Source organism: Homo sapiens, chromosome 3, assembly GCF_000001405.40.
Source record: "Homo sapiens chromosome 3, GRCh38.p14 Primary Assembly".
NCBI classification, from domain to species: Eukaryota; Metazoa; Chordata; class Mammalia; order Primates; family Hominidae; genus Homo; species Homo sapiens.
The window spans coordinates 136,550,393-136,576,937 of NC_000003.12; the positions used below are offsets into that span (position 1 = coordinate 136,550,393).

The 26,545-nt window shown below is 37.2% G+C and overlaps 1 protein-coding gene across 6 annotated transcripts in view; it reads right to left on the reverse strand.

The window, feature by feature from the left end:
* The window catches only part of STAG1 (STAG1 cohesin complex component), a 416,143-nt gene that overhangs the window by 214,157 nt on the left and 175,441 nt on the right, over positions 1-26,545 (reverse strand). For 5 of the 6 annotated variants that reach the window (XR_001739978.2, NM_005862.3, XM_047447229.1 and 2 more), the window contains one exon: positions 18,373-18,469. The exons of the other annotated variant lie outside the window; for it this stretch is intronic. Coding sequence is in view for 3 of the 5 variants with exons in the window: in NM_005862.3 (NP_005853.2) it covers positions 18,373-18,469 (97 nt within the window). In the remaining 2 variants the exon portion in view is untranslated. The remainder of the gene's footprint in view (positions 1-18,372; positions 18,470-26,545) is intronic. 6 annotated transcript variants of the gene reach the window in all.

A 26,545-nucleotide genomic window follows, 5' to 3' on the forward strand; every position in this document is an offset into this window, starting at 1 on the left:
TGCCTCCCGGATTCACGCCATTCTCCTGCCTCAGCCTCCCGAGTAGCTGGGATTACAGGCGCCCACCACCATGCCCGGCTAATTTTTTGTATTTTTAGTAGTGACAGGGTTTCACCGTGTTAGCCAGGATGGTCTTGATCTCCTGACCTTGTGATCCACCTGCCTCAGCCTCACAAATTGCTGGAATTACAGGCATGAGCCACTGTGCCTGGCCCAGCTTTTCTTTTTCTCCATAACTCAGTCTTGATAGGTTGTATGTTTCTAGAAATTTAGTCATTTATTCTAGATTATCCAATTTATTGGTGTAGAGTCGTTCCTTGTAGTCTCTTATGATGTTTATTATTTCTGGGACATCATCTTTAAAGTCTCTACTTCCATTTCTAATTTTCACACTTTACTTGTTTTTGATGACCACAAAGGTTTTAAGAAGCAGTGGTCAGGTATTTTATACAATGTCTTTCGATTTGTCTGATGCTTTTCTCACGGTTAGACAGGGTTTATGGATTTTTGGAAGGAAAGTAAAGAGAGAAATTGCCATCTTCATCATATAAAATCAAGTCACTATCGATATGACTAAACACTACTGATTATTAATCATGAACATCTAGATGCAAGTGTTTGTCAGTTTTCTCCTTTGTAAATTACATTTCTCCACCTCCTTCCACACTGTACTCCTTAGAAGTCACTATGCACAGCCCACACTTAATGGGTAAGAAGTTATGTTTCATTTCCTTTAAGATGATTTAGGTATCTACATAAATTTTTTTAACTCCTTTTTTTTTTTTTTTGAGAGAGAGAGAGAGGTTGAGAGAGAGTGAGAGAGAGAGAGAGAGAGAGAGAGAGAGAGAGAGAGAGAGAGAGAGAGAGAGGGAGAGCGAGAGAGCGTGCTCTGTTGCCCAGGCTGGAGTGCAGTGGCACAATCCTGGCTCACTGCAGCCTTGACCTCCCAGAATCAAGCAATCCTCCTACCTCAACCTCTCCCACCTCCCACCTCTGCAAGCTAGGACTATAGGCAGGCATCAATACATCTGGCTAATTTTTTTTTTTTTTTGGCAGGGGGAAGAGGGGAGAGAGATAGGGTTTCTCTGTGTTGCCCAGGCTACTCTAGAACTCCTCAACTGAAGCGATGCCCCCACCTCGGGCTCCCACAGTGCTCAAATTACAGGCATGAGCCAGCCTGCTCTGCCTCTTTTGAATTTCTGAATAGTTCATGTGTCTATTCTCAGTATTTTTTTTTTGAGACAGGATCTTGCTCTGTTGCCCAGGCTGAAGTGCAGTGGCAAAATCATGGCTCACTGCAGCCTCAACCTCTTGGCCACCTCCCACCCAGCCTCCCAAGCACCTGGGACTACAGGCACACACCTGGCTAATTTTTCTATTTTTGTAGAGACAGGGTCTTACTATGTTGTCCAGGCTGGTCTTAAACTCCTGGGCTCAACTGATCCTCCTGCCTTGGCCTCCCAAAGTGTTGGGATTACAGACGTGAGCCACTGTGCCTGGCCTACTTGAGAGAAAGACATGAGAGAGAGACACTGAGAGAGAGAGAGGCTGAAATTGAAAAATATTAAGGCAAAATACTTCATATTCCAATCTCTTATTTTATAATTTTTATCCTGTTCTCTGCATACCCAACAGGTTTTCTTTAAGTGTAAACCCATCAGGATTACTTGTGGTTTCTTTGTACACTCTACCTAAAACAGTACCTGCACGTCAGCCTACATTTGAAAGCTTTTTCAAAACCATGACAATAATAAGCAATTGAAATCTTCAAGTAGGCCCAAGAAAATCAAAACCTATGAAAGCAGAAATTACATTACAACAATATACAAAGTAAATATGCAAATTATGCCAAAAGCATCAAAGTTTCAAAATTATTCATTTCCACAAAAAATTTTTTTGAAAAATTTCAGCATTAGAAGTTACATTTACACACACATATACATATCATCTGAGGGAGAAATCACTTTACATTTATATATACAAGTTCAGTTTATAATGATATTGTAAACAATATTATTTATACAAATCCTTTCCCTCAAATGCTAAATAAAATATAAACAGCATTTTGAAAGCATCTGAAGCCATATGAAGCAGGAAGATATTAGGAGGACAATAAATAAAAGCAGAAATTCAATATATAGAAGCAATGCTGAAATCACTTTTTCTATGATGACCCTTGCTAAGCCTATTTGCTTCAGTTGGGCGATATGAGGTAGAGGGTCTAGAAGAAATAACTCTATAAAGTGGGGCCTCAAAGGATTACATCTTCAGGTTAAGGCTAAACCAGGGGTCAATTTATCACCTCATACTCTGGGGAAAATAAAGTTTTTCTGGTACTGCAAAGAGGGAGATAAATGTATCTAAGAAGTTATAATCAAAAACTGGTGTTCTAACAAATAACTGAAAGAAAATCTCAAACTCTCTATTCAATTACAAATGGTCCTAGATTGGTAGCGCCCCTGGACACCTGCAAAGCAAATGCTAAATCCTCTCTTAGAGAAATGTAACTTAATCCTAGGATTCAAATAAATTTGAGAGTAAATAAGGAACTTGGAACAAAAAGCAACAAAATACACCAAGAAGAAAGACAACATGCAAAAAACAAGCAAAAACAAGACCACAGAAACAGGCTCACAAAGACTTAAAATACTAGAATTATCAGATAGAGATTAGAAAAGAAATAAACTTACCATGTTAAAAAATAAAAATACAAGTTTGAATATCCACAGGGGAACAATTCCATGGACCAAGTAGTTATAATTTACAGAAATGAACAATACACTAACTGAAATAAGGCTTAAGGGATTGGCATAGATAAAAAGAGTAAAAGAACTCGAATTTGGGGGGGATATTATTCAGAAAGCTGCACAGAAATTCAAAAATATGGAAAGATACACAGAAGAGAGTATAACAAATTTACACAAAGTTCCTGAAGGAGAAGATAAATAAAATGGAAAGAAAATTTAAAGAGATAACAATTAAGAAATTTTAGAATGAATGAAAAACAATACTCCCTGCCCCTGTCAAAATATATTCTACGCCTACAGCAAAACATAATGAAACTCAGAAAACCAGAAATAAAGAGCAAAAATTAAATTTTGGGCCGGGTGTGGTGGCTCATGCCTGTAATCCCAGCACTTTGGGAGGCCAAGGCAGGTGGGTCACAAGGTCAAGAGATCAAGACCATCCTGGCCAACATGGTGAAACCTTGTCTCTACTAAAATACAAAAAATTAGCCGGGTGTGGTGGTGTGCGCCTGTAGTCCCAGTTACTCAGGAGGCTGAGGCAGGGGAATCGCTTGAACCCAGGAGGCAGAGATTGCCGTGAGCCAAGATCGCGCCACTGCGCTCCAGCCTGGCAAGAGAGCGAGACTCCATCTCAAAACAAAAAGTTCAAAGAAGTAGAGAAAAGAAAGACAAATTCTTTGGTATTCAAGTAATTTAAAGACCAGAAAGAAGAGAAAAAGAAAACATAGAACAGGAGGGGCAAAGAACAACCACTGGTTCAATATAAAACTAATTACAGTGATTGTATTAAATGCAAAAGGGACTAAATGGTGCAACTAAAAGACAGACTGAATTAAAAAAATACGATCCAGCTGTAAGTTGTAACAAGCGGCATCTAAAAGATACTGGAACAATAAAAGGAAAAAAAAATAGAACACTAGAAAAACATGAAAAGTGGTAGGTTTCATTAATATTCAAATGAAACAGACTTTTAGAGAAAAAAAAGTATTGCCGGAGATAAAGAGGAACATTAAATATAAAATATTGAGTTATAAAAAAGCTGGATGTCTGTATACATCTAATAACATATCAGGGAGTGGAGAGAGAGACAGACACAAGAGGGAGGGTAAGGAAGGGGAAAGGCAGTTAAGAAGAAATCAAGGAAAAATACATAAATCTACAACCATGATGTGGGATTTTAACATACACCCCTCTCAGTAATCATCAGAACAAGCACAATAAATTAGAAGGATATAAAATATTTTAACAAAATTATTGAGCTAACAATGGACATACTACACCTAAAAAATGCATAATACGCATGAGTTTTAAGGGCACATGAAACATTAGCAAAAGCTGACCATACAACCTTGAGACAAGTCTACAATTACAGACCATTTCCTTTTGCCTCAAATTCAAGGAAGCTAAAGAAGAAAACAATACAAAAAGTTAACCAGAAAACTCTCATGCTTGAAAATTTAAAAATATGCTTCTGAACAGGCACAGTGGCTCATGCCTGTAATCCCAGCATATTGTGAGGTTGAGAGGGGAGGACTGCTTGAGTCCAGGAGTTCAAAAGTAGCCAGGGCAACATAGCAACCTTGTCTCTAAAAAAGAAAAAAGAAAAATCAGCTGGTGTGGTGGCACACACTTGTGGTCCCAGCTACTTGGGAAGCTGAGGTGGGAGGATCATTTCTGCCCAGGAGTTCAGGCTGCAGTATGCTGTGATCACATGACTCCACTCCAGCCTGGGTGAGAACCCGTCTCAAAAAATAACCGAAAAAATAAAACAAAACAAAAGCCATTAAAACAAAGAAGAACAAATATGCTTCTAAATAATCCATGTGTCAAGAAAAAGCTATAATTAGGAATTAGAAAACACTTAAAATTAATGAAAAGGGACATCAGTAATTCACAACTATATATATACATATATGCACACACGCACTCAGGCACACACACACACTATTTATATATTTATAATATATATATTATAAATATATAAATAACATATATGGAATATTATAAACAACTTTATAAATTTTAAAATTTAGATAAAATGGAGAGTTTCCTAGAAAAATCTGGTTTATCAAAATAATAAAAACACCAGAAGCTGGGCATGGTCTTGCATGCCTGTAGTCCTAGCTACCTGGGAGGCTGAGGCAGGAGAATCTCTTGAAGTCCTGAGTTCAAGACCAGCCTGGGAAACATAGCGAGTCTCTAAATAATAATAATAATAAAATACCTCAATAGTGCTAAATGAGTTTTTAAAAAGTGAATCACGACTGGGCACAGTGGCTCAAGCCTGTAATCCCAGCACTTTGGGAGGCTAAGGCAAGCAGATCACTGGAGGTCAGGAGTTTGAGACCAGCCTGGCCAATATGGTGAAACCCTATCTCTACTAAAAATACAAAAACAGCTGGGCATGGTGGCTCACACCTGTAATTCTAGCTACATAGGAGGCTGAGGTAGTAGAATCCGCTTGAACCCAGGAGGCGGGGGTTGCAGTGAGCCGTGTTTGTGGCACTGTACTCCAGCCTGGGCTACAGAGCTAGACTCTGTCTCAATCAATCAATCAATCAATCAGTCAATCAATCAATCAAGTATACAATTTAATAGTTAAAAAAAAAAATCAGTAGCTTGAAATCATCCAACAAAAATCTTCAGGGTCCAGATGCCTTGAATTCTACCAAACATTCTGGAAAGAAATAATTCCAAAAAAAAAACAGAAAAAGAAGGTATTGTTTGCAATTCATTTTGTGAAATTAGCAAAGTTTTCATAACAAAACCCAAAATGGAAAGAATGAAAGGGGAAAAGGACAGGCAATCTCACTGATACAGATATAAAAACCCTAAGCAAGATACTAGCAAACCAAACCTAGCAATAATTTAAAAATATATCATGACCAAGTTGAATTCGTTCTAGGAATGCATATTAAATTTTACATTAAAATATCAGTGGTAGACATGCTTTTCTGTAAACCTAAAACTGCTCTAAAAAAATAAACTCTATTTTTAAAAAACCATTACTTATAATGAAATTTTTAAATGCTGAAAGTTCAGAAATAAATTTAATAACGGACGTATAAGACCTTTTCACACATACATCCCCTTCAAAAAATCCTCTAAAATACTTGGCAGAGGGGATGAATATATGCAGAAATAAACACAATGATCACAAACTGAAAGATTCTATTTTATCAAAATGTAAATTCATCCCCACTGATATACAGCAGCAGTTGTTCAAGTAGGAATGGGGTTCTACTGACATTTAGTGGGTAGAGGCCAGAGATGCTGCTAAATGTCCTACAATGAAAGAATGCTTCCCACGACAAAGACTTTCCAGTCCAAAAACTCAATAGTGTCAAGATTGAGAAATGCTAACATACATACAGATTCAATATAATTCCATTTAAAACTCCGACGAGTTTGCTGATAGAACTTGACATTCGTTTTTTTTTTGTTTGTTTGTTTGTTTTTTTGAGACAGGTTCTCACTCTGTCACTCAGGCAGGAGTACAATGGTGTGACCACAGTTCACTGCAATCTTCACCTCCTGGGCTCAAGCGATCCTCTCACCTCAGCCTCCCAAGTAACTGAGACTACAGGCACACACCACCACGCCCCACTAATTCCTGCATTTTTTGTAGAGGCAGGGTTTTACCATGTTGCCCAGGCTGGACACCAATCCCTGGGCTCAAGAGATTCACCCACCTCAACCTCCCAAAGTGTTGGGATTACAGGTACGAGCCACTGTGCTTGGCCCACAAACCAGTTTCTAAAATATATACAAAAATACAAAAGCCAGTAAGTTTCTAGTCAAGAAATTTTTTGACCAGGAGCAATGGCCGACGCCTGTAATCCCAGCACTTTGGGAGGCTGAGGTGGGCAGAACTCTTGAATCCAGGGGTTCAAGACCAGCTTGGGCAGCATGTTGAAACCCTGACTCTGCAAAAATCCCAAACAATTAGCCAGGTGTAGTGGTGGTGCGTGCCTGTAGTCTCAGACACTTGGGAAGCTAAAGTGGGAGGATCACCTAAGCCCAGGGAGGTTGAGGCTGCAGTGAGTCAAGATCGCACCACTGCACTCCAGCCTGGGTTACAGGGTGAGACACCATTTTAAAAAAAGAAAAGAAAAGAAAGTTAGCTTTCCATCTAAGAGACCAATTAGCAGAATAGAGAACCCAGAAAAAGACTCTCCTGTAAAGGGTTACTTGATATATGCTAATGGGGTCATTGTACAATCAAGAAAAACTGAAGGACTTTTCACACTTAAAAAACTGAAGTCTAGATGACGTAAAAACCTAAATTTGAAGGACTAACCTATACATAACTAACTAAACTTCACATAAACTAGAAAGCTTTTATAAGAAAACAGGAGAGTATCTTCATGACCACGGTGTAAATAATTTTTTAATTTTTATTTTCACTTATTTATTTTTTTGAGATGGAGTCACACTCTGTTGCCCAGGCTGGGGTGCAGTGGTGTGAGCTCGGCTCACCGTAACCTCCGCCTCCCAGGTTCAAGCAATTCTCCTGCCTCAGCCTCCTGAGTAGCTGGGATTACAAGTGCCCACCACCATGCCCAATTTTTTTATTTTTAGTAGAAACAGTGTTTCACCATGTTGGCCAGGCCAGTCTTGAACACCTGACCTCAAGTGATCCGCCTGCCTCAGCCTCCCAAAGTGCTATTACTGCAGGCAAAAGCCACAGGGCCTGGTCAATAATTTCTTAAATATGACACAAAAAGCCCATAAAAGAAAAGACAAATAAATTTGGTTACACTTAAAAATTTAAAACTCATGTTCATTCATTCTTTCAATAAATAATTATAGGTGCTAGAGATACAAAGAGAACAAAGACAGACAAAAATCCCTTCCTTCAAAGGATAATGTATCAAAATAAAAGAGAAAAAGCAGGCTGCAAGATGGAAGAAGAAAGCTGCAATATACATAACAAAGGAGATTAGTATTAACACTTTTTTAAAAATCTTGGCCAGGTGCGGTGGCTCATGCCTGTAATCCCAGCACTTTGAGAGCCCAAGGTGGGCAGGTCACCTGAGGTCGGGAGTTTGAGACCGGCCTGGCCAACAGGGAGAAACCCCATCTCTACTAAAAATACAAAAATTAGCCAGGCGTGGTGGCACATGCCTGTAATCCCAGCTACTAGGGGGGCTGAAACAGGAGAATCACTTCAACCTGGGAGGTGGAGGTTGCAGTGAGCCAAGATTGCACCGCTGCACTCCAGCCTGGGAAACAGAGTAAAACTTATGTCTCAAATAAAATAAAATAAAAATCTTACAAAACAATAAAGGACAAAAGGTAACATCGCAATACAGTAATTTGTAGAAGACTTTACACAGTTCATGCAAGAGAAAATTCTCATGGTTAACTGTTATGTGAAAAAGTAGTCCATCTCAATAGTACTCAAAGAAATATAAATTAAAACCACAATCTGATATTTGTAATCCTACTCAACAACATAAAACTAAAAATACTGGCAATACTATCTATGAGCAAAATATGTGAAGCCATCAGAATTCTGTGACATCACCTGACTAAAGCATGAAAAGTTACAACTACTTCAGAGAAATTTGACATCATCCAGAAAAGTTGCATATCTTATAACCCAGCAATTCCACCCCTCAGTACGCAAACTAGAGCATTTTGTGCATGAATACCAAATTAATATGTGCAAAAGATAGCTTTTAGTAACCACTGTCTACATTACCCAAAAATTTCCTTCAAGAATGGGAAATATAAATTAACTGGTATATTCATATAAGGTATACTTTACAGTAGTTCTCAAAATGGGGTAATTTTGCTTCCCAAAATTGAACACTGGGAAACTTTTGCAGACATTTTTGCTTGTTACAACTGGAGGAGAGGGAGAAAGAAATGTGCTACTGGCATCTAACAGGTAGAGGCCAAAGGCACTTTATATTCAGTCTTTTGTATATATAAGATGTCACAATTTAAAAGGATTTAAGAAAGATAACACTGAACTACCTATCTATCTATCTATCTATCTATCTATCTATCTATCTATATACGTACACACTGTACAGGTGAGGAGATAAGAATTCATTAAAATAGATTGCTAAAGAGAATACTGATTAATATATAATAAAGCCATATAAGCACTTGTTAGTTTCTATCCCCCAGATGCAGATACTAAAACAAGGATGCCAGTGCAAGTAATTTATTTAGAAGGACAACCCACAAAATACCAGTAATGCAGTAGAGACATGAAACAAGAAAAAGAAAAATAACAATTAAAAAAAAGCAGACAATAAAGAGTATGTTATCTAGCCAATTACAATTGTAGGTAACTGGAGCCTAATTAAGCTCCTTGAGAAACTGCAGTCAGAGTAGGCCATGCCCTTCAAAATGATCCCACTGATAGGCAAAGGAATTGGGGTATTTATACACTAACTCCCGGTCAGTCACTTGTTAAAGCCATGGTGCCCAAACTGTGCACTGAGATGTCCTGAGGGACTCACACAAAATGATATGGGTAATGTGGATATTTTAAATATTCAAAGGAAAACAATACAATATTTGATATTTGTCAAGTACCACAGGAACTATTAGCATGAGGCAACTTGCAATCTCAACATCTGGTCCTTTATTCCTGTTGATAATGCCCTATCTTTGAGAGGCTGAGTTTCAACAAGGGCTATCAAAAAACCAATATAAAACAGGAAATGAAGATAATTTCAAAATGTGAGAAGCTATACAATGCCCAACACATCTGTACACACATTAGTAAGTAACTGCAGTTATTTGAGACATGAATACAATTTTTTTCAATTATGTATGTCATTTTCTAAATGGCTACTAAGTTGTGAGGACCTAAATAAATAGTTTGGACATAACAACTTCCTGAAAAGAATGTTAGGTATTTCTTTTGGCTTACAGGTGCCATGAAAAAATCACTGAGATGCTAATTAGCCAGCGAACTGGGTTAAGTTCAGGAACTCTTAGATTAAGTGCTCCTAGGTGATTAATTCTCTGGCAATTCTGCACTCCTAGAAAGCCCTGAGGCATCCGGAACTTCTCTGTTAGGCACAAACAGAGCAAAATAGAAACATTCCTTGTTATATTCAACTAAGAAAGAAGGTTGCTTTTAACCACCAACTTTCAAGTTTGATCAACAACCCTTATTAAAAATAGGCACATCTGTCAATGAAAACTACTTATCAAAAACCATATATTTCTGAAATTAGTTATGTTTAAGTACATACCAAAGTAAATATGTACGTGTATCAACAAGGTATACTTTGAATATATGGAGAACATATCTTCATTTTGCTATGCATAATTCCCTGAATACATGCTATAATTCTGTGTTCTTAGTTCTCTCATAACTTATTCCAATAAACACTTATGAATTTACATAGCTTTAGAATGCAACTCTAAGTCAACAGTGTTTAAATCAACTTTACCTTTGCATTTTTCCCACTTCATTGATACTGAATATATCTATTACTACTACATATTGAGTTAGCCAATTCTGAGGTTTCCAATGGTAAACAGAATTCACTCCAGCTGGTTCAAATGAAGAGACTACAGACGTTTCAGCAGAGTTAGAAAAACAACTATGGGTGCTAATGCAACTTGAGATAGCTAAATTAGAAAACCAATACTGCACCTTAGGGCTTGGCTCAAGAGCCAAGATGAGAAAATAGTGATAATAGGGATACTGGAGCCAATGAAGGAGGAGTTGTTCATACTATTCACTCATGAGAAGATGTTTCACTTTGTTCTGTCATTGTTGGTGATACCACTTCTAGCCGGGAACTTGGGTGGGGACGGGGCGAATTGTGATTTTTTTTTTTCCTGCCTTTCCTTGCTCTCTTCCCACTTCAGGTCAATTTTTAAAACACTCTTTTGGTCCTTGGTTCTTACGCAGCTTTAGGGGAAAATGGGCTCACACAGTAAAATGCCAATCTAGATTTTGGATATTAATGTGCAAGACAAGGAGTCCTTATAAAATGCAAATCTTATCTCAACATATATTAGAGATAGCAGCCTTTGTAATACAAAAAAATTTCCCCCACTTGTCCCTTGTCGTTTGACTTTCCCTATAATGTGTCTCCATCTTACAAATTTTTTGTTTTCTTATGTCATTTATGAGTCTTTGCTAACTTATAGATTTTGAGTCAGTTAATTGTGAGTCAGTTAATAAAAAGGTCTTCCCCACTCCGTGGTTATAAAGGAATTCTTAGTTTTCATTGAGTGCTTTTACTATTTTTCTTTGTATTTGTTGTTTGTTTTTGCCCTTAAACTCTTGATGCACTGGAAATTTATCCTGGTTTACACCATCACAGTGAAATGTAAATCTGAAAGAATTTTCCCCCTCACTTTTGTCTTGAAAAGGAGGTCTTTAAATCTTCTAACTGGCTGTAGGATAGTAATTTTTCTCTATAAATTCTGTATCTCAATATATTATGGAATTATTTTATTGCTTATAATAGTTTTGCAAACTGATTCTCCTGAGTTTTCTAAACATGCTATATTATTTTGAATAACATCATTTTAAAAACAGTGATCATAATTACTTTTTATTGTCCAAATGTGTTGGCTTGCATATCCAATATAATGTTAAATAAGAATTGTGAGGCTGGGTATCCTTGTCTTGACAGTGACAATGACTACTGATTTCCCTTGAGCATGACGCTGGCTTTGGGGTTAAAACATTTTTTTTTTTTTTCATTTTTGTACTTTGACATAATTTTAGATTTACAGAAAAGACAGCAAAGTACAAAGAACTTCTGAATACCTTCCACCCAAATTCTTCAGATGTAAACATTTACATCCGTTTTATCCTTCTTTCACTCTTCATATACAGATGCATTTGTTCTGAATAAGTGTTTAGCTACAGACATGATATTCCTTTACTCTTTAATATTTCAGTGTGTATTTCCCCCAAATAAACCTATTATACAACCACAGTATAGTACAATGTTCCAAAGCATAAGATATAACAATTGATACTACATGTATGTTCTAATCCACAGAACTAATTAAGATTTCACGTGTCTCAATAACGTCCTTTATGCCAAAAGAAATTCTAAGATCATGCACTGCAGCCACCTGTCACATTTCTTCAGTCTACTTTAAACAGTTTCTGAGTCATTTCTTTTTCTTTTTTTTTTTTAGACAGAGTTTCGCTCCTGTTGCCCAGCCTGGAGTGCAATGGTGTAATCTCAGCTCACTGCAACCTCCGCCTCCTGGGCTCACGCGATTCTCCTGCCTCAGCCTCCCAAGCAGCTGGGATTACGGGCACCCACCACCACGCCCGGCTAATTTTTGTATTTTTAGTAGAGACGGGGTTTCACCACATTGACCAGGCTGGTCTTGAACTCCTGACCTCAGGAAATCTGCCCAAAGAAATTCTAAGATCATGCACTGCAGCCACCTGTCATGTTTCTTTACTCTACTTTAAGCTAGAACAGTTTGAGTCATTTCTTTTTTTCTTTTTTTGAGACAGAGTTTTGCTCCTGTTGCCCAGGCAGGAGTGCAATGGTGTGATCTTGGCTCATTGCAACCTCTGTCTCCTGGGTTCAAGTGATTCTCCTGCCTCAGCCTCCCAAGTAGCTGGGATTGCAGGCGCCTATCACCATGCCCAGCTAATTTTTGTATTCTTAGTAGAGATGGGGTTTCACTACACTGGCCAGGCTGGTCTTGAACTCCTGACCTCAGGTGATCTGCCCGCCTCAGCCTCCCAAAGTGCTGGGATTACAGGTGTGAGTCACGACGCCCAGCATTTCTGACTATTTCATGACACTGACTTTTTTGCAGAGTACAGGATAGTTGTTTTGAAGAATATAACTCAATTCAAGCTTGTCTTATGTTTCTTCATGAGTAGATTCAGACTATGCACTTCTGGCAAGAATATCACAGAAGTGATGTTGAGTTCTTCTAAGGGCATATCAGAAAGCACATGATAGCAATTAGCTCCGTAACTTGCAATGTTTGCTTTTATCATTTGTTAAGGTGCTATCTATCAAGTTTCTACATTGCAAAGTTTCTATTTTACCCTGTAAATAGTAGATATCTTGAAAGGAGACATTTTGAGACTGGGTAAATATTGTGCTCTTCATCAAACTTCTCCCCGACCCCACTAGTTTCACAGCCCACTTACTGAGTTCCCAAGTTACGTTGGTTAGTAATTTTACACCTTTCAGTGTGGTTGTTATTATGGTGTAAAGGTTATTTGTTCTGTTTGTATTCATTTTTAGGATATTCTCCCTCCATCTTTGTTGATTTTGTTTTCTTGGGGATTTGAAATATTAAGATAGCTCCAAAAGTCAGGACTATTCAAAAACTATAAAACTATATTCAAATTCAGTATCATTCCCTCACCTCAATTCCCTCTAAACTTTCCGACACACACACACGCACGCACGCACAAACTCTCTCTCTCTCTCTCTCGCTCTTTAGGTAACCAATCTCGTTACCGTCAGGTTTTTCTTTCCTGTATTTCTTTTTGGTGAAATGAACCCTTATATTCCCTTCTTTCTTACAAAAAAAAAAAAAAAACAACAACAACAAAGTTGCATACTGTAGATATTATTCTGCAATTTGTATTTTGCCCTAAAAACATATCCAGAGAAAGGCCGGGCACGGTGGCTCATGCCTGTAATCCCAGCACTTTAGGAGGCCAAGGCGGGTGGATCATGAGGTCAGGAGTTCAAGACCAGCCTGATCAACACGGTGAAACCCCATCTCTACTAAAAATACAAAAAAACTTTAGCTGGGCATGGTGGTGCGTGTCTGTAATCCCAGCTACTCGGGAGGCTGAGGCAGGAGAACTGCTTGAACCCAGGCGGCGGAGGTTGCAGTGAGCCGAGATCGCACCACCGCACTCCAGCCTGGGTGACAGAATAAGACTGTCTCGAAAAAAAAAATACAGGGAAAATCCCTACTTCCATTCACAGACATCTTCCTCATTCTTTTTTACAGTAGCACAAAACTCCAACATGTGGCTATCCTATAGTTCATTCAATCACTGTCTTATATATGAACATTTGGATTGTTTCCAATATTTTCCAGTAACAAATAATGTTGCATTAATTTTGTGTACCTATTTTCTTACTGCTGAAGGTATATATTCAAGGTAAAATCCCAGAAGTAGGATGGTTGAGTCAACAGATAAGACATAAATATAGATTTGGTAGATATTCCTGGATACCTTTACAAAAGAGTTTATCAATTTGTATTCTAACCAACAATGTAACAGTGTCTGCTTTCCCCCGCCACAGCCTGAACAACAGAATGTTGTTATGATTTTAAACTTGTGCCAATCTGATAGGTAAAAAGAAATGGTAACTAAGTATAGTTTTAATTAGTAAATCCCTTTTGTAATAAGTAAAAAATGTTTTCTTTTCATATGTTCTAAGATATGTTTACTAATGTCTCATAGGTACTTAGGTCTATGTCAGGATTTTTATTATATTCTACTGATGTAAAAGACAGTGTGCTTTCTTTATAAATCATATTAAGAAAATATGCTTCTATGCCCCTTCAACAAAAATGTTTTAAGACCCATTTTGTCAAATGTCTTTTCAGGAACTGTAAAGGTAGTCAAAAGAAAAATGGGCAAAGGATAGGAACAAAGAATTCAAAGAAAAAACAGTAATGGTTCTCAACCCTCATTCATTAGAGAAATACAAATTAAAACCAACCCATACACAAAAATTAACCATGGATTAACAGCCTAAATATAAAATATAAAATCCAGCCTCCAGATTTGTGAGCAATCGCCATTAGAAGGAAACATAGAGGTAAATCTTCATGACCTTGAATTTGGCAATGGATCCTTAAATTTGACATGTGTATGAGGAAGGAAGGAAGGAAGGAAGGAAGGAAGGAAGGAAGGAAGGAAGGAAGGCAGGCAGGCAGGCAGGCAGGCAGGCAGAAGGGAGGGAGGGAGGGAGGGAGGGAGGGAGGGAGGGAGGGAGGGAGGGAGGAAAGGAAAGAGAAAGAGAGAGAAAGAAAGGAAAGAGAAAGGGAAGAGAAAGGAAAGAGAAGGGAAAGGGAAAGGAAAGGAAAGGAAGAGAAATCAGACTTAATAAAATGTAAACCTATTGTGCACCAAAAAACATCATTAAGAAAGTTAAAAAGACAACCTAGAGAGCGGACAAAAATAGCTGAAGTTAAATACTTGATAAAGGTTTGGTATCCACAATATATACAACTCATCAACAAAAAGACACATAATCTAATTTTAAAATGAGCAAAGGACTTGAATGTATATTTCTTCAAAGAAAATACAGACATGTCCAACAAGCACATGAAAAGAAGTTCAAGATCATTAGGCATTAAGTGCACACAAATTAAAACCACAGTTAGATACCACTTTATACCCAGTAGGATGGCTATAATTTTTAAAACTATAAAATAACAAGTGTTGTTGAGGATGTAGAAAAATAGGAATCCTCATACATTTCTGGTGGGAATATAAGATGGTGCAGCCACTGTGGAAAACAGTTTGGTGGTTCCTCAAAAAGTTTAAATGGAATTATTATACGACCTAGCAATTCTACTCCTAAGAATTTACACCTCAAAGACTCAAAAACGGCACTCAAACAAGTATTTGTTCACGAATGTTCAAAGTTGCCATATTCACAATAGTCAAAAGGTGGAAACAACTCAAATGTCCTTCAACAGATGAATGGATAAACAAACAGTGATATATACATACGATGGATTATTATTCAGCCCTAAACGAAATGAACTACTGATGCATGCTACAACTTAAATGAACCTCAAAAACATGGTAAGTGAAAGAAGTCACACACAGAAGGTGACATATGGTGTGGTTCCTTTTATATAAGATGACCAGGACTGGCAAATCCTCAGGGACAGAAAGTAGATTCATGATTGCCAGTGATGGGGGAGAAAAGAACAAATAGTGATTACCTAACAGGTATAGGGTATTTTCCTGGGGAGATTTTTAAAGTTTTGAGAAAAGAGAGAGGTGGTAACTGCTACAATGGATTGAATGTTTGTGTCCTCCCAAAATTCCTATATTAAAATCCTAACCCCCAAAGTGATGGTATTAGAAGGTGGGACCTTTGGGATGCAATTAGGTGATGAGTGGGACCCTCATGAATGAGATTAGTGCCGTTATAAAGGGGACTCCAGAAAACGCTCTCAACCCTCTTTTTGCCATGTAAGGGTACAACTAGAAGTTAGTATTCTGCAATGTGGAAGAGGGCCCTCACAAGAACCAGACGATATTGAGACCCTGATCTCAGACTTCCAGCCTCCAGACTTGTGAGAAATAAATTTCTATTATTTGTAAGCCACCCAGTCTATGGTATTGTTACAGCAACCCAAAGTAAGGCAGCTGCACATTTATGAATGCCCTAAATGCTACTGAATTGGTACACTTTAAAATGCTTACTTGTATATTACGTGAACTTCAAAGCACTTTTAAAAATCAGACTGAAATATTATCTTCAAATCATTCTGAAGACTAATCCAAAATCTTAATACACTTTGTTGAAAAGGCTAAGAAAAAAAAGACATTTTAATATATCACTGATGAGAGTATAGAAGAGTACAATTCCTATAGCTGACGATTTGGCAGTATCTAATATAATAACAAATGCATTTACCTACAGACATTCTTTATAAAGACCAAATAAGGTATACATAAAATTACTCATTACAGTACTCTCTGTAACAGCAAAAGACTACAAATAACACACTGGTCTTTTAATAGAAGTCTAGTTAAATAAATTATTGTACATATACACAAAGGAATGCAATGAGCCTGTGTTTTTAAAAATGAAGGAGAAAGGTCTCTATACACTATTATCTTTTGTGTACGACAGGTGAGGTGGAGAAGGAAAGAATATACATTCCTACCCTATAGGTATGAAAATTAGATAGATGGACAGACAGTTAAGTTCAACAAACTAGTTAAGAGCAGTTAACTATGTGTAGATGGATGGGAAGACAGAAAGGCAAAGACTTCTTATTATACAACTTTTAAACTTTTTTATTTTGAACCATGAAAATAAATTTCAAAAGGAAAAATTTTAAACACTACTAATTGCTTTCAAATTAAAACCCAATCCAACAGGTCTGTTGATTAATAGGACTATATGAGAAAATTTATATAAAGCACATCATCAGTGCTTGCCTCACCTACTTTAAGGCTGCAAAATGAGCAAACTCTCTTACTTTCAAATAGTCTAATCTCTTGCCAATCCTCACTCATCTCCATGCTCTACAATTCAGCCACAGAATCCTCTACGTCCCGGACTGAACCATGCTTTCTTGTCTTAAGGTCTTTTTGCATAATATGTTACCTTTTGCCTTTCTCATCCTTCTAACTTCCTTTTACTCATCTTTAATCTCACATCAGAGTTTATTTTTTGTAGGATATACTTTTTTACAACCTCCCCACATTCACACATATATACAGAGACACACAGCCTGGGCTGCATCAGCATCCCTTGCTTTCTTGTTATTCCCACAGTGTCTTGTGGCTGGGGACACACACTCCAGGTGACACAGCTTGACTCTCAATCTTGAGTTTCACACTTGCTAACTGTATGATCTGGAATAAATTTACCTAAACCCTTTCATCTCAGTTTGCAATGTACAAGATAAAGATCAGATCTGCCTGATGGGACTGTTAACAAAGATTAAATGAGCTAATGTATGTAAAGCACACAGCTTGCCACATACTAAACAGTCATTAAATAGTAACCAGTTTTATTATACTTATCATGGCACCAAGCCCTTTGCTGAACTATTAATGTATTTCCCCTCTTTCTTACTCACAATGAAGATGCCTTTAAAAATTACACATACTTTAACACTTTTTACGGCAGAGACTGCCTTGATAACTTCTGTATACCCTGGTGGAGTATCTCGTATAAGGGTGGTGCTCTGTAAATATTTGATAAACTACTCATGTCAATATGGTAAGTGATAACTTGTACATAAATAAACAAGCCTTCAAGAAATCAATTTGGTCAGTTATCTCAATTAAAGATTACTATTCTTCTGTATTCACAAGCAGAGAATGGTGATTTAACAACTCACTTCCCCCCATGTAATACAAATTAACCTGTTAAGATTTATCTAGAGAAGAAAAAGATCTAGCAGTTATCTCCTAAAATGATAAAAATAAAATTACACTTTAACAAACTGTCTTACAGTTGTAAACTTAAGACACCTGATTCTGCTACTTGTGTTACTTTAAGAAAAGTATTTAAACTTAACTATAAAATGAGTACGAAATACTGGCAGGGATATAAAAGAATGAATGCTAGCAACTAGCACACTTCCCAATATGGAGCATACATACAAATAATATGAGTAAAAATTATAAAAGCCTATGATCTAAAAAATCAATTCATGAAACTACTGAACGAATTTCAGATTTCCTCCCAAAATTTCAAAAACTATATAAATGTATTACTTTATAGGAGCAAAACTGAACAAGAACAAAAATGGAATATCCTTATATAACTTACCAATAATATTCTCTATCAGAAAAAGATTAGCAGATAATCTTTAATTTTAGGGTAAATTATATACGACTAGTGGCAGGTGAAGTAAAAGTCACACTGCTGGACTGACAGGCTCAATGTACATCATTTATTTCAACATTCTGTACCTCGACATCCTGAACACTGGATAAAAAAGTTGATTAAATCCAGAAGTGCGATGTCCCTGTCTTGTTTATATGATTCAATCCAGTCATCCACCACGGACTGTGGAAAAAAAATATAAAAATGAAAACTTCAAAAAAATTTGATATTATAGCAAATAAATTTTCAAAAAAGTTTGTGTGTTTGTGTGTGTTTCTATCTGAACGAGAAAATTACTTACCTGAAATTATTTCTCTGTAGCCTAATAAAAGTAGAGACTCCCTTATTTTTAAAGGCCAATAAAAAGTGACTTACTAGGTTTCAAAGATTTGTTTACAATAGAATCCAAAACAAATCGGACCTTACCAATCCCATTAAGTCCAATAATTATTAAGCAAGTATAGATAATATTCAAACCATATTAAGAAAATGATAAAAATTAACTTCACTTTTACACAGATACAAACTTTCTGAGTTATCAGAAAGCATAATCCACCAGTAGTGCATAAAAAGAATGCAAATAATAAGAGGCATTTTTTCAAGAGTACAAGAATGGCTTAATATTAAGAAATCAAATAACTGAATTTATCAACAAAGTGAAAAAGAAAAATAAAACAATTATATATCAAATCAGATCTCAAAAACGTATCTGATAAAATTCTGTAGCCAATCCAAAAAAAAAAAAAAACTTTCTAGGAAAATTAGGGTTCAATAAAATCTACTTAAAGGATAAAAAGACTAAAATATATTTGTTGTTGAAATACTTAAGATATTTCAACTAATTAAAGAACAAGGCAAGGATGCCCCTCTAACCATTCAACCCAGGGTTGAAGTCTTTAGTTAATGCAAAAGTTAGCAAAATTTAGTAAAGACAATTCTCCTTTCCTACAGTTGATAAGAAAACCCAGGAGTCTCTATTAAAGTGATTCAAGAGATTAATAATAGGAAAATTTGACAAGGTAGCTGACAAGATAAATATACAAAATAACTTAATAGTGCAATAACTAGAAAATATAAATGGATTAGTAGCTTGTTCACAACGAAAAATACCTAAGAATAAATCTAAGAGAATTTTTAATAAGGAAAATTATTAAAACTTACAGGATATTAAAAAAAGACTTCAACAAGTATCATATTCTGAATTTAAAAAAAGATTTAGTGTTGTATCAATAAAGTCTGAGAGTCTTGCCAACTTACAAGGCAAATTTAATGTAATTCCAGTTTGCATTCCAGTGGGCAGGATTGTTTGAGATTTTCTTGGGCAGAGGTAGGGATCAGAGGAAATGTATAAAAATGTAAATTTTAAAAAAATAAAATTTTGTGTACTAAGGTATATTTATATACAGTAAAATGCATTAATCCTGTTATACCTTAATTTTTATAAATACATACACCTGTGTAACCACAACCAAGATGAAGATATAAAACATTTCCACAACTAAAACAGGCTCCCTTATGTTGCTTTCCAGTCAGTAACCATCCCCAGCACAAAGGGTAATTATTATACTGATGCATATTACCATGAATTAGTTTGACATGATATTGAAACTCATATAAATGATATCATCTTTTTTTATTTCTTTCAAGCAAAGTTGTATTGGTAAGATTCAGCAGCATTGTTATGTGTATTAGTAATGCCTTTTTTACATTGCTGAATATTATTTCATTGTATGAATATACCACAATCTATCACCCATTTTACTGTTGAGGAATATGAGTACTCTTTGCAGTTTAGGGCTATCACAAATAAAACTGTTATGTACACACATTTGATGAATGTAAACATTCTTTTCTGTATTACAGAACCAAGAGCAGATCTGTTAACACACGTTACACACACGCATCAAGGCTTAGTAGATAATGCCAAACAATTTCTCATAACAAGTTGTAATAAATCACACTTCCACCAGCAATGTATGACATCCAGCAAGATGTGAGATTTTCAGATGCTCTACATCCTCACCCAAGACTAGGTACTGTCAGTTATTTTAATTTAGCCCATGCTGATTAAGCATATCCCTTCTTCAATGACCTTCCATTGGGAAGAACCACTTTCCCTTCCTCCAAGTGAAAGAGAAGACTTTCTATACATAATACTGTTTCACTGTCTCATCACATTAGTGTCTGGGGGGTTTTGTTTTTAAAGTAAAGAGAAAACTAGAAAGAAGATTATGGTGGTAAGAGAGGGTCAAGAAGAAAAGAATACCATGGTATCTGGGCAAGGTTCACCTCTGCTGAATAATGTGTCAGGCTCTGCAAGCTCAGGATGATGGTGAAAACTAGAAGTTAATAGAGCAGATTAAGAGCAACTTTTAGACTCAGGACTGAAGCAGAAATGCTTTGCAACCTAGGTAACAAAGTGTGGCATAAAACTGAAGAAGTCACTTCCTCACTTTTACAGGGGTCCAGTAATATAAAGGCAGTCTGAGTAGAATTTTAATTCCCAAAGTGATTGTACCAATTTATACTCCCACCAGTTACATATGAAGAGCTCAAAACATTCTAAGACTGGTGCACAGGAACCTGCATCAGAAATATTAACACTTTGGTCTGAGCGTGGTGGCGCACACCTGAAATCTCAGCACTTTGGGAGACCAAGGTGGGCAGACGACTTGAGCACAGGAGTTTGAGACAAGCCTGAGCAGCATGACGAAACCCTGTCTCTACAAAAATTACAAAAATTAGCTAGAGTGGTGGTGCATGCCTGTAGTCCCAGCTTACTTGGGAGGCTGAGATAAGAGGATCACTTGAGCCTGTAAGGTCAAGGCTGCAGTGAGCAAAGATCGCACCACTGCACACCAGTCTGAGTGACAGGGCGAGACCCTGTCAAAATACAAACAAAAACTTGGGGCCAGGCACAGTGACTTGCACCTGTAATTCCAACAACTCCTGGGAGGCCAAGGCAGGAGGATGACTTGAGGCCAGGAGTTCAAGACCAGCCTGGGCAACATACAAAGACCCTCATCTCTACCAAAAAACAAAACAAAAAAATATTAGTGAGGAATGGTGGCACGTGACCACAGTCCCAGCCACTTGGAAAGCTGAGGCAGGAGGATCACTTGAGCCCAGGAGTTTGAGGCTACAGTGAACTATTACCATGCTAACACACTCTCTCTAGCCTGCGCAACAGAGTGAAACCCTGTCTCTAAAATGAATAAATAAGGCTGGGCACGGTGGCTCACGCCTGTAATCCCAACACTTTGGGAGGCCGAGATGGGTGGCTCACTTGAGGTCAGGAGTTCCAGACCAGCCTGGCCAACATGGTAAAACCCTATCTATGCTAAAAATACCAACAAAAAGACAGAAAAGAAAAAGAAAAAACAAAAAAGAGCCAGGCATGGTGGCACATGCCTGTAATCCCAGTTACTTAGGAGGCTGAGGCACAAGAATCACTTGAACCTGGGAGGCAGAGGTTGCAGTGAGCCAAGATGGTGCCACTGCACTCCAGCCTAGGAAACAGAGCAAGACTGTTTCAATTAAATAAATAAAAATAAAATGAATACAATAAAATAAACATTAAAACATACTACGAAGGAACTGAAAAACAATCAGAAATAGTAAAATAGTAAACAAGGCCAGGCACTGTGGCCCATTCCTGTAAACCCTGCACTTTCATAGGCTGAGGCAGGCAGATCTCCTGAGCTCAGGAGTTTGAGACCAGCCTGGGCAATGTAGCAAAACCCGCCTCTACCAAAAATCCACGAATTAGTCAGGTGTGGTGGTGCACACCTGTGGTCCCAGCTACTTGGGAGGCTGAGGTGAGAGATCACTTAAGCCCAGGAGGTGGAGGTTGAGGAGGAAGCTGCAGTGAGCTGTGAGCGTGCCACTGCACTGCAGCCTGGGTGACAGAGCAAGACTGTCTCAAAAAAAAAAAAAAAAAAAAAGTAAGCAAGTAAGAGAACAAAGTACAGAAATAAAAATAAATAATAGCCCTTTGCATTAAGGGAAAAAATAAATGCAGAAGAAATAGATCCAGATATATATAACTTCCACTATGACAAAGGAGACGTTTCAATTTTAGAGGGGAAAATTATTTATATAATAAATGATACTGACCCTGATATATTGGTTATTCATCCAGAAGTAAACAAAGTTGTACCTTTTATAAGCTTTCATAAAGATATGAAGATAAATGAATTTAAAGAACTAAACTCCAGGCCAGGTGCAATGGCTCACACTTGTAATCTCAGAGCTTTGGAGGCCAATGCGGAAGGACCACTTGAGGCCAGGAGTTCGAGAGCAGCCTAGGCAACACAGTGATACCCTCACTCTACAAAACATTTTAAAATAATTAGTTGGGCACAGTGGCACATGCCTATAATCCCAGCTACTCAGTAGTCTGAGGTGGGAGGGTCACTTGAGTCCAGGAGTTTAAGGTTGCAATGAACTGTGATCTTCAACTGCATTCCAGCCTGGGTGACAGAGCAAGACCTTATCTTTAAAAAAGAAAAGGATTAAAAAAAAAAAAAAGAATTAAACTTCAAGGAGTCATGTATGAGCCTTTCTTGAGTTGGCAGAGAATGGCAACTGTTAGAAGCATTGCCAAGTATGGGCATAGGTGGGTGGATAATGCAGCCTGTCATAAATACAGGGGACCATGACTAAGTTAAGAATTTGTTTTAGAAATCACATATGGCATATAATCAAATTGTGCTGAAAATTTTCAAAAAGAAAATTCAAGCAACCAAAGGGTACACACATAGGGAAGCAAAGGATAGAATAATGACACACTTCCCATCAAAAACAATGCAAACCCATGGATAATACAGTAACATATTTAATGTCCTGAAGAAAGATGAAAAAGTCCATTCTGAATTTTTTAACTGGCCAAAAAAAATATTTCAAATAAAGGCAAATAAAATATTTTGAGACTAAAAAACTAAAACAAAAAATAAAAAAAAAACCAACCTCATGAAAGACAGATTGTCCAAGCTGGATAAAAAGACCCAACTGGCCGGGCATGGTGGCTCATGTCTGTAATCCCAGCACTTTGGGAGGCCGAAGCGGGCGGATCACGAGGTCAGGAGATGGAGACCATCCTGGCTAACATGGTGAAACCCCATCTCTATTAAAATACAAAAAATTAGCGGGGCGTGGTGGTGGGTGCCTGTAATCCCAGCTAATCAGGAGGCTGAGGCAGGAGAATGGCGAGAACCTGGGAGGCGGAGTTTGCAGTGAGCGGAGATCGCGCCACTGCACTCCAGCCTTGGCCCCAGAGTGAGACGCTGGGTGCAGTGGCTCACACCTGTAATCTCAGCACTCTGGGAGCCGAGGCAGGCGGATCAACAGGGCAGGAGATCGAGACCATCCTGGCTAACACGGTGAAATCCCATTCTACTAAAAATACCAAAAATTAGGTGGGCATGGTGGCACGCGCCTATAGTCCCAGCTACTCGGGAGGCTGAGGCAGGAGAATTGGTTGAACCCGGGAGGTGGAGGTTGCAGTGAGCCGAGATGGTGCCGCTGCACTCCAGCCCGGGTGACATGAGCGAAACTCTGTCCCCCCAAAAAAAAAACCCGACCACATAATATTTACAAGAGACACACTTTTAATATAAGAGCAGATAGGCCACAATAAAGGATATATATGTATGTGTGTGTGTATACACACACACACACACACACACGCACATCCTTGTCTTGATTTCTACTTTGATGTAACTATAACAATAACAGGTTTCTTATGGTTTATGTTTGCATGGTGTATGTGTGTATATACACATACATACACACACATATATACATATACACACATATACACACACCATGCAAACATTAACCGTAAGAAACATGTTGTGGTTATATTCATGTCAAAGTAGAAATCAAGACAAGGAATGCTACCAAACATAAAGAGAAATATTTTATAATAATAAAACAGTAAATTCATTAGGAAGCTATAACAACATTAAATTTTAACACCAAATAACAGGAGTCTCAAAATACATAAAGCAAAGATTGAACTAAAAGAGGCAAATTCATAGCCATGGCTGAAATTTTTAACACACATCTTTTGGTAACTGATAGAAGAAGCAAACAAAAAAATTAATGAGTGTATAGAAGATAGGGATAAAATTACTAATGTGATCTAACTAATACATAAAACTTAACACCAACAATTACAGAATACACATTCTTTTCAAGTACAAACAAGAATATTCACCAAAATAAATCATAAATCAAACCTCTGTAAGTTTTTAAACACTGAAATAATACAGAGCAAGCTCTCTTGCAATAACAGATTTAAAAATCTGTTTAAATCTGATTTAAAAATCAGTAACAAAAATATACCTAAAATGTCCCCAAATGTTTGGTAATGAGAAAATTTTAAAAAACTGAATAAAAACATCTCAAAAACTGTTGAATCCACCTACAGTAGTGTTTACAAGAAAATTTAGAGCTTTAAATATTTATAATTTATAGCTAAGTTACAGTTTATATAAAGAAGGGTTTAAATCAATGACCTAAGAATCTACCTTTTTGGTAGTGGGTTTTTCTTTTTTCTCTGAGACAGGGTCTCACTCTTTCACCCAGGCTAGGGTCCAGTGGCATGACCACGGCTCATTGTAGCCTAAATCTCCCAGGCTCAAGCTATCCTTCCACCTCAGCCTCTCAAGTAGCTGGGAACAGAGGCATATGCCACTGTGCCTGGTTAATTTTTGTATTTTTGGTAGAGACGGGATTTCGCCATTTTGCCTAGGCTGGTCTCGAACATCTGGGCTCAAGAAATCCTCCCACCTTGGCCTACCAAAGTGGCTTCTACCTTAATAAACAGAATATTCCAATGTGGATTGTCTCTATCTGGAGGATAAGGAAAAGTATGCAATATAATTCCAACAGAAAATTAACAGAAAGGCTATTTCTGATAACACAGCCACAGACCCAAAGAGAAGGCTATAGCTTTAGAACATCTGAATCACAGATTATAGACACACAATCATTCTGGGACCTAAGGTGACATAGGATCTTGTATCCTTAACAAGCAGCTTCCAAGGTCAACCATGAATATCAGTAATAAGACAGCATTTCATGGGAAATTTTTGTAAGTCATGTTTGGAAGTTGTGCATATCATTTCAGCTAATATTAATACTTCACAGGCAAGAACTTGTTAGCTAGCCATATATGAATGCAATGGAAGTAGAGAAATGGAGTCTCTGTTTGCCAGCGGCCTCCTTGAACGTTCTTCACTATGAAAAAGGAAAAATAACTTTTGGTAGATAGCAAGTCACCTCTGCCAAAAACTGCCCCTCTGCCTACTAATATTTATATGCTGCCTTCCTCCCACTTAGAGAAAATATTTATTTGCATGGATATAGGTATTATACTACTATTTACTATTTTAAAAACCCCACGAAACAATTTTAATGTCTATAAAGGAACGTTTCACTAAATGATAGTATATCCATACAGTAGAATGAAATGTAACTAGTAATACAAATGAGCTGAATCTATGTTAGCACTAATGACAGAAACAGTTGCTTCTGACATCAAATGCACAAAGAAATGAGTATGATTCTATTTTTTAAATAAATAAATCTCTCTTTTTCTCTCTCACACACACATACATATAAGCATGGGAAAAGGTATGGAAAAATTCAACTTGTGACACTAATAGGCTTGAATGTCCTCAATTGATTCCAGTTTAAGACTTGGATACAAAGAAAACCTCGAGACCTGAGCCATAGATCCTCAATGAGAAAGCTATAACAAGCAGCATCTGAATCATAGATTACATTCATATGACAAAAAATGATGACATTTGCTATAATTATGATTTTATCATATTGTACTAGAAGGCAGTATAAAAATTAATATTCTGTCTTGTTCCATAAGGAATATGAGGTAGTTAAAAAATAACATTTTTTAAATTGAGAAGAATAAAAAACATCAAGGCTACAAAGAGGAAATATAAATATATGGAAAAGAGCAGTCAATATGGTGGTTAAAGATGAGTTTTAAATCTGCCTAAGCTCCCTGTAAGGTAAACCTAAAAGATAAATCAATTCAATCTAGATATCTACATAGTACAGAGTCCACATTCTTCAAATTCTATTAGGTTAAGTATACTTTTCTCAGTAAGCCATTTAGTAGGACCTTGGTTAAGCAGACAAGGGCACAGAGAATTCGTATTCTATACTGCTGCTTAAGAGTAGATTCGTTTGCTTTGGAGAAAGATAGATTCGTTTGCTTTGGATTAAAGT